The 8892-nt window shown below is 43.4% G+C and overlaps 1 protein-coding gene across 22 annotated transcripts in view, besides 2 other annotated features; it reads left to right on the top strand.

Annotated features, from left to right (window-relative positions):
• Positions 6165-6702: an enhancer, noted in NCBI's record as "H3K27ac hESC enhancer chr10:74385604-74386141 (GRCh37/hg19 assembly coordinates)". NCBI's record gives its function as "activates a minimal SCP1, AML or CMV promoter by ChIP-STARR-seq in primed H9 embryonic stem cells {active_cell/tissue: H9 hESC(primed)}" and the evidence as "EXISTENCE:reporter gene assay evidence [ECO:0000049][PMID:30033119]".
• Positions 6465-6614: an enhancer, noted in NCBI's record as "active region_3550". NCBI's record gives its function as "activates an Ori minimal core promoter by ATAC-STARR-seq in GM12878 lymphoblastoid cells {active_cell/tissue: GM12878}" and the evidence as "EXISTENCE:reporter gene assay evidence [ECO:0000049][PMID:35858748]".
• The window catches only part of MICU1 (mitochondrial calcium uptake 1), a 258740-nt gene continuing 256316 nt past the window's right edge, over positions 6469-8892 (top strand). For all 22 annotated transcript variants that reach the window (NR_199811.1, NR_199809.1, NR_199810.1 and 19 more), the window contains exon 1: positions 6469-6538. The gene's annotated coding sequence lies outside the window, so the exon portion shown is untranslated. The remainder of the gene's footprint in view (positions 6539-8892) is intronic.

The raw sequence follows: 8892 nt of genomic DNA, 5'->3' as shown, positions 1-8892 counted from the left end.
AATATGGAATAGTTAGTTCCTCTGCCATTTTTTTCCTTTCATGATGGTTATTTCACAGAATGCTCCTCAATATGGGTTTGGTTGATATTTCCTCATGATCAGATTCAAGTGATATTGTGTTCTTCTCAGAGTACTATATCATAGGGATCAAAGTGTTGCATAGTTTCTGTTATATAGTTACCATTTCCTTTTGTAAAAAATATAAAATCTGTGGGGAGATGCTTTGAAACATAAAAATACCCTGCTTCTCATAAAATTCCCTGCCCAACCCCTGCCGGATTTAACTGATAATGTTTGCCCAAACCAATCTTTACCATGATAGTTGCAAAATGGTGGTTTTCCCAACTCCACCACTCTCTTTGGATTTATCAGCAAGTAGTCTACTTTAAGGAAAGCCACTGTCTGATTTCCCCATTTCTCTTTCTCTCCTTAATATAGATTGTTGGATTCTTATTTTATTCAGTGGCTGTAACTTACTACTGTTCTTTTTTTTTTTTTCTTTTGAGACAGTCTGGCTCTGTTGCCAGCCTGGAGTGTAGTGGTGTGATCTTGGCTCACTGCAACCTCTGCCTCCTGGGTTCAAACGATTCTCCTGCCTCAGCCTCCCGAGTAGCTGGGACTACAGGCACGCACCACCACACTCAGCTAACTTTTGTATTTTTTTAGTACAGACACGGTTTCACCATGTTGGCCAGGATGGTCTCAATCTCTTAACCTTGTGATATGCCCGCCTCGGCCTCCCAAAGTGCTGGGATTACAGGCGTGAGCCATCCCGCCCAGCCACTTATTACTGTTCTTATGCTGGTACTCCAATTATCCCAGATTTGGCCAGTGATGGGCCTTCAAGCTGGCTCCCTTTGACATGTCCTCATTTTATTTTCTGATTGCTTCCTTACTTTTGGACACAACAAGATGTTCCAGGTCATCTTGTACATTCCTGCTGTAGACTTGAAACCAGCCCTGTTTTCAAGAAGACTTAGTTCCTTTTTGTGGAGAAAGGTAGTTCAGAAATCAAGATCTGGGCAGAGATTCTTTAATTTTGAAGTTAGTTTCAATCATAAAATCAAGGAGAATATGTCAATTTTTATAAATCATCATATTTATGCCATCCTCCCACCTCCTAGTGGTAAAAAGCCAGGAAACATTTAAGCTTTTTTAAAATTTTTTTCATATTTATTTGAACATAATTAATTCTGGCTATAAGTATTAGAGAAGAATACTCACTGCAAGAACAACTATGGGTCATAAGTCTCTAGATAGCTACTCAAGTACAATATAACTTCAAAAAGGTTGGGTGTGGTGGCTCACACCTGTAATCTCAGCACTTTGGGAGGCCAAGGTGGGTGGATCTCTTGAGCCAAGGAGTTCGAGACCAGCCCGGGCAACATAGTGATATGTTGTCTCTACAAAAATTACAAAAAATTAGCCAGGGCTGGTGGTTTGCACCTGTAGTCTCAGCTACTCAGGAGGCTGAGGCGGGAGGATCACTTGAGCCTGGGAGGTTGAGGCTGCAGTGAGCTGAGATGGTGCACTGCATTCCAGCCTGGGCGACAGAGTAAGACTCTAAGACTCTCTGTCTCTTTGTTTCTCTGTCTCTGTCTCTGATATATATATTCAAAAGGAGTTTGTGATGGACGACTGCATAGGTTTTGAGATACCATAATCTATGGAACCCTGAAGATAAGTGTAATAAAACAAAGACCATCTCATTGAATTCATTTTAAAGAAACTGAATGAAAGCTTTAGAAAATAAACTTTTTGTAGTCTGATACTTGTTGCAAAAGATGTTTTTGTTTTTTACAGTGGTGTGATATGTTGGAGACTGCTGTGGTAACACATATTATTTTAATGTGATAAGAATAGATGAACTATAAAATGTATGACATAAGGACACCAATTTCTATTTTTAGTGAATGACATTAAATACTGTCCCTTGATAACACAGATCTTTCAACACAACACACTTTTGAAATACTGAAGATGAAATAAATAAACATTATATTTTGCATATGATAGTATGATAGTCCTGGGGGCAAAGATCAAATCTATTTGTCAAGTATACAGGACTTAGTATTCATTCCCAATCCTATCATTGCAGGGGAATCACCTGGGACTTTTAAAATCCAGATTCCAGAGCATCACCCTGGTTCACTGAAGCAGTGTGTCTCATGATCCAAGAATCTGTATTTTAAAAATCTCCTCAGATAATTCCCAGGCATTTGATCACCAGACTGGTTTGGGAACTACTGAACTTGTTAAAAAATACATTTTTACGGTGGTGCAAGTCTCATTATAGATACAAGTTGCCCAAGGGCAGGAATCGAGCTTATAAATTTTTACAAGCCCAGCACTAGTTGTGAGCATTACATATATTAATATGTAGGTATTCAATATATGTCTGTGAAAGAATTTTGACTTCAAATTTTATTGGTCACCAGAGGAGTCTTATTATTAGTTTGTACAGGAGATATAAACCTTGATTAGTGATATCATACATTTATATGACTCGGAACACATTGCATAGCATCCTGAAAAACAATACTGAATTGATGGACAGATTTCTAATGTAGAATATAGCTGTGTTTGGTTATGACCTTGAATTCTGCTAACTTACTCTATACTCTTGGAAATGAAGAAGGAGCTAGATGCGGTGGCTCACGCCTGTAATCCAAGCATTATGGGAGGCTGAGGCGGGTGGATCACGAGGTCAGGAGTTCGAGACCAGCCTGGCCAAAATGGTGAAACCCCATCTCTACTAAAAACACAAAAATTAGCCAGGCATGGTGGCGCATGCCTGTAATCCCAGCTACTCAGGAGGCTGAGGCAGGAGAATCACTTGAACCTGGGAGGTGGAGGTTGCAGTGAGCCAAGATTGTGCCACTGCACTCTAGCCTGGGTGACACAGCAAGACTCCGTCTCAAAAAAAGAAAAAAAAAAAGAAATGAAGAAAGAATACTCACATCTCATATTTATTTGTATAAGATTGGCCTAGTCTGTAAATTGTCTCTGTCTTGTTCTCCTTTCCATTAAATGTTCTACTTGATGCCAAAATGACTAGACAAAATATACAATAGCATTTAACATTTGTATGGTTTAAAACAGTGGTTCTCAAAGTGTGGTCAAAGACCACTGGAGGTTTCCTGAAACCCTTTCTAGTAATCTGTAAGGTCAAGACTGTTTTCTTACTAATACACTGTTATTTGCCTTATCGCTCTAATTCTTTCTTGAGTATATAGTAGAGTTTGCCAGAGGCTACATGAAGTGTAAGAGTGCAAACATTTAATGCAGAAAAGATACAAGAATCTGTCTTCTATTAAGCCAGACATTAAAGAAATTTGCAGCCGGGCACAGTGGCTCATGCCTGTAATCCCAGTACTTTGGGAGGACGATGTGGGCGGATCACGAGGTCAGGGGTTTGAGACCGGCCTGATCAACATGGTGAAACCCCGTCTCTACTAAAAATACAAAAAAATTAGCCGGGCGTGGTGGCATGCGCCTGTAATCCCAGCTACTCAGGAGGCTGAGGCAGGAGAATCACTTGAAACCGGGAAGCAGAGGTTGCAGTGAGCCGAGATCGTGCCACTGCACTCCAGCCTGGGCGACACAGTGAGACTCTGTCTCAAAAAAAAAGAAAAGAAATTTGCAATAATGTAAAACCATGCTACTCTTTTTTTTTGAAGTTGTTTTTCTTAAGAATACATTATTTATGTCAACATATAATGGATCTATTATTTTTAAATGACTAAGTACACATTAAAATAATTTCAATTTTAATTTTCTTTCTTTTCTCTTTTTTTTTTTTGAGACTGAGTCTTGCTCTGTCACTGAGGCCTAGGCTGGAGTGCAGTGGCATGATCCTGGCTCACTGCAACCTCTGTCTACCGGATTCAGGCGATTCTCCTACCTCAGCCTCCTGAGTAGCTGGGATTACAGGCGTGTGCCACCATGCCTGGCTAATTTTTGTATTTTTAGTAGAGATAGGGTTTCACCATGTTGGCCAAGATGGTCTCGAACTCATGACCTCAGGTGATCTGCCGCCTCTGCCTCCCAAAGTGCTGGGTGCCATTGTACCCGGCCTCAATTTTAAGTCCTCATATGCTAAATTAAAAAAAGTTTATAGAGACAGGTTCTTGCGCTGTTGCGCAGGCTGGAGTGCAGTGGCATGATCATAGCTCACTGTAGCCTCAAAGTCCTAGCCTCACGTGATCATCCCATCTCAGTCTCTCAAAATGCTGAGATTATAGGTATTAGCCTCTGCCTGGCCGAATATGGTAAATATCGATAGGTATAACACACATAAATAAAAGTTATTTTGAGTCCTCAATAATTTTTAAGTGTATAGGGGTCCTAAGACCAAAACGTTTGAGAAACAATGATTTATGTTTTTAAATGTTATTTAACAGTTAGTTTGACTGATTAGTTTTATATAGACAAATGTTGCCTAAAATTAGAATTGAATTTCAGCAAATCTTTCTTTCTTTTTTTGAGACGGAGTCTCGCTTTGTCGCCCAGGCTGGAGTGCAGTGGCACGATCTTGGCTTACTGCAAGCTCTGCCTCCCGGGTTCCTGCCATTCTCCTGTCTCAGCCTCCCGAGTAGCTGGGACTACAGGCGCCCGCCACCACGCCTGGCTAATTTTTTGTATTTTTAGTAGAGACAGGGTTTCACCGTGTTAGCCAGGATGGTCTCGATCTCCTGACCCGCCCGCCTCAGCCTCCCAAAGTGCTGGGATTACAGGCGTGAGCCACCGCGCCCGGCCTGAATTACATCATTTAAGAGTGGAAGCCTCAGAGGCCTTCAGGTCAGGTCTATGTCCCGCTACTGCATGTACTGCATTACCTAGGGGTGTCAGCCTGCTTCCCTATCTGCAAATGAATAAAACAGTATCCATCCTAGAGTGGTTGTAGACAAGCACTGGGTTGTATGTAAAGCGCTAGCACAGAGCCATGAACACAATCATCTATTGTACTTAGGTTAGTTGGGTCTGAGAAGAAATGGAGAAAACAGAGTTGATTCTGCTTACTTCACAATTTACCCCAGGGATGGTTTTGTTGGCTTTGTTTCCATGGTTGTTGCCTTTTCCACAGCTCTGCTACGTAAATTCTTGGGAAAAAAAAATTATTTGAAAGTTCTCTGGGACCAGCGAGGTGGCTCGCACTTGTTAATCCCAGCACTTTGGGAAGCCGAGACGGGAGGATCGCCCGAGGTCAGGAGTTTGAGACTAGCCTGCCCAACATGGCGAAACCCCGTCTGTACTAAAAATACAAAAATTAGCCGGGCGTGGTGGGGCGTGCCTGTAATCTCAGCTACTCGGGAGGCTGAGGCAGAAGAATCACTTGAACCTGGGAGGAGGATGTTGCAGTGAGCATCACTGCACTCCAACCTGGGCGACAGTGCGAGACTCCGTCTCAAAACAAACGAACAAACAACCAACCAACACCCCGCTGCCCCCCCCCCAAAAAAATTCTCTGGTATTATAGTCATATTTCCATCCTATTTCCACAGCAGGGGTGAGGATCCTTTGCCATCCCATTTTTCTGATAAAAACACCTTCTTCAGCCGGGCGCAGTGGCTCACGCCTGTAATCCTCGCACTTTGGGAGGCCGAGGTGGGCGGATCACCTGAGGTCGGGCGTTCCAGACCAGCCTGACCAACATGGAAAAACCCCGTCTCTACCAAAAATACAAATTAGTAGGGCGTGGTGGCGCATGCCTGTAATCCCAGCTACTTGGGAGGCTGAGGCAGGAGAATCGCTTGAACCCAGGAGGCAGAGATTGCAGAGAGCCGAGATCGCTCCACTGCACTCCAGCCTGGGCATCAAGAGTGAAACTCTATCTCAAAACAAACAAACAAACAAACAAACAAAAAACACATTCTTCAAGGGAAAACATGTTTTTAAGTGGCTTCTAGAGATTATAAACTCTGCAATAATATTAGTCTGCAAATAAAACACCTGACAAAATCATCCACCAGAGGAAGTGGTGAGGGTTTCTAAATCCAAAAAAGTCTCAAGGTTATGAAACAGGAACATTTAATCTCTGAGAAAACCTAAACGGAGTTGGAAAGAAACAATTTCCAACTCACTGTGGTCCAGTTTTCTTTTCACGAACTCCTTTTTGCTTAGCCAACATAGCCAACACGAAAACGGGTACCGAGGAGGTGTTACAAGCCACAGTAAATTTCTCAACAGATTCCTATGACCCTTGTGGAGGGGAAAAAAACCAGAAGAAATGCCCGAGAGCTTCTGGGAGCTCTCCAGCTTTCCCGCCTAAACGCTGAGGGGAGTAAGGGGGAGTGACGGGGCTAGGGCGGGGCCCGAGGCTGGGGCGTGGCGCGTTGATTTCCCCGCCCCTCCCCGTTCCTTTTCCTCTGTGCCCCTCCCACACGCCTGTCTCCACGATCCCGACAGGCCCAGCGGCTAGGAGAGTCACGTGAGAGTGGGCGGAGGGGGTGGAGGTTTGTCTCCGCTGTTTCATCTCTATGGCTGTCAGAGGTGGGCGGCTTTGACCGAGAGGCTGCTGGAGCTCGTGTTTGGACGCGTGAGTCTTGGACTCTGGAGGGTATAAGGAGACAGCAATTTAGGGAAGGCGAAGGGGAAGGGGGTTGGCGAGACAGCCTTAGGGAACTGGGCTTCGTGGCTGGCCGTTTGTCCGCCCCGGGCATCCGGCTACTTCTCGGGTCTGGCGGGATACCTGTCTCTCCCTGATGCGCTCAGCTTTTGGAGAGGAGTCCGTAGTCTTGCTTGCCTCCCGTCCTCCACTTTCCTTCACCCCAACCCGTCCCTTCTCCCGTCCCGGGAGAACTTCTCCCAGTGCCGGGTTCGCAACTTGGCGCCGACGCCCCCCTCCTCACAGGCGACTGGGACACTCTGGTAGCCTTGACTGGCTCTCCTGGAATTTGTGGATGTGGTTAGAAGTGGGTGCGGGAGTTCACAGATGGATTTCTAATACGGAGAAATATTAACCACTGAATCGAAATAAGTGGAAAATCAGTGAGGACTCAAAGGAGAAATACAAAGTGCAGGCTACTCGGACTGTTCAGTTTTTATCTTTTCCAGCGCCTTCCCGTTTTCATTACGTTCTCCCTGTTTTGTTTTCACCGTCGCATTCTGGCCGGCCATAGGCTGTTTTGAGAAAGAGCTAGATGTTATTGACTCTATGTGAATGTTGGGAGAACAGTTTAAAACAAACTGTTCTTCAAGTTGCCTTCTCTGTAATCTTATGGTTGATGGTTTCTTTACCTTCCAATTTTCCATGTCTTAAAAAATACGGTGGCCATTAGTAAATATAAGTAGAATAAATATCTTATAGCTAAGGGACTAGAGTAAAATATTTTATTTTTCCTGTGGTACCTTAGAAACGCCCATTTTCTTCCTATTTATCAATAAATGTTTCTATCTCACTTGTTTGGGTGGCTTCTTTGATATGCCTTTGTTTATATTAGAACATCCCTTTGGGGCACGTAGGGAAGTGATCGAGCAGTATAAGAAAGGAGTTTGCATTTCATGAGGTGAAACAAGTTCGGTGTGGATAGCTGTAGGAGAGTTTAGGTTTCATTGGACCATATGACAAATAATAAACGTCAGTATCTTGAGACAAAGGTGTTGGCCAGAATGACCCACCTACTGTGTTTCTGGTGTGGACCAGGTAATGAGCTTTTTGAATATTGCCTTATCCTAAAAACTTTAGAACCCATTGCCACTTGTCTGTAGGAAGGTGGCTTTTGCCTCCAGCTACTCTTTGTCCCAATCCTTGGTTTGTCCCTGATTGTCTCTTCCACTTAAGAACATCACTCTGGCTACCTAATATATCAAGCAAGTGTCTCTGACATCTTCTGAGTGTCCTTACTGAGAGCCATAAAACATAATATTAACAAAAAGTGAATATTCTGGAGTGGCTTGTGTGCCTGAGGAGAAAGGGAAAGAATGATAGAAACTAATAGAAGCTAATAAATGCAAGAGAACAAAAGTGTTTATTGCTGTCTTCCTTTATATTTACTATATTCAGTAGATTGTTTACATTCCTAAGAAGTGCATCTTGAGACTAACTTTCCTGTGTTTAAGAATAAAACAGGCTGGGTGTGGTGTCTCAGGCCCATAATCCCAGCAATTTGGGAGGCCGGGTGGATCCCTTGAATCTAGGAGTTTGAGACCAGCCTGGGCAATATGGCAAGACCATCTCTACAAAACACAAAAATTAGCTGGGCGCATGCCTGTAGTCCTGGCTACTTGGGAGGCTGAGACAGGAGGATGGCTTGAGCCCTCGAGGTTGAGGCTGCAGTGAGCTGTGATCGTACCATTGCACTCCAGCTTGGGCGACAGAGCGATACCCTGTCTCTTAAAACAACAACAAAAGAATAAAACGATATGAAATTTCTCCATAATGCAATATTATGCAAAATAATTATAATTGAAATATTTAACTGACCAACTCCTTCAGATCTTATGCTATTCAGAGTTATAGGACTAATATAATTGATAAAGCTTTTTTAAACCCAATTTTGCCACCTTCAGTCTTTAAAGTTAGCTTTATCTCTTGAGCCATTTTTACAATGGCTGCAGCACTTGCTGAACATTAACCATTTTTTCCATATGCAGTTGTTTAGTGTATCCCTTTTAAAATAAGAACCAGTTTTTAATTAATTAATTAATTAATTAAATGGAGATGGGGTTCAGCCATTTTGCCGAGGCTGGTCCTTTTGTTGAGGGGTGGGGACGGAGTCTCATTCTGTTGCCCAGGCTGGAGTGCAGTGGTGTGATCTCGGCTCACTGCAACCTCTGCCTCCTGGGTTCAAGCAATTCTCCTGCTTCAGCCTCCGAAGTAGCTGGAACTACAGGCGCGGCACCACATCTGGCTAATTTTTGTATTTTTAGTAGAGATGGGGTTTTACATGT

Source organism: Homo sapiens, chromosome 10, assembly GCF_000001405.40.
Source record: "Homo sapiens chromosome 10, GRCh38.p14 Primary Assembly".
Lineage (NCBI taxonomy): Eukaryota > Metazoa > Chordata > Mammalia > Primates > Hominidae > Homo > Homo sapiens.
This window is presented reverse-complemented; position numbering and strand designations above follow the sequence as displayed.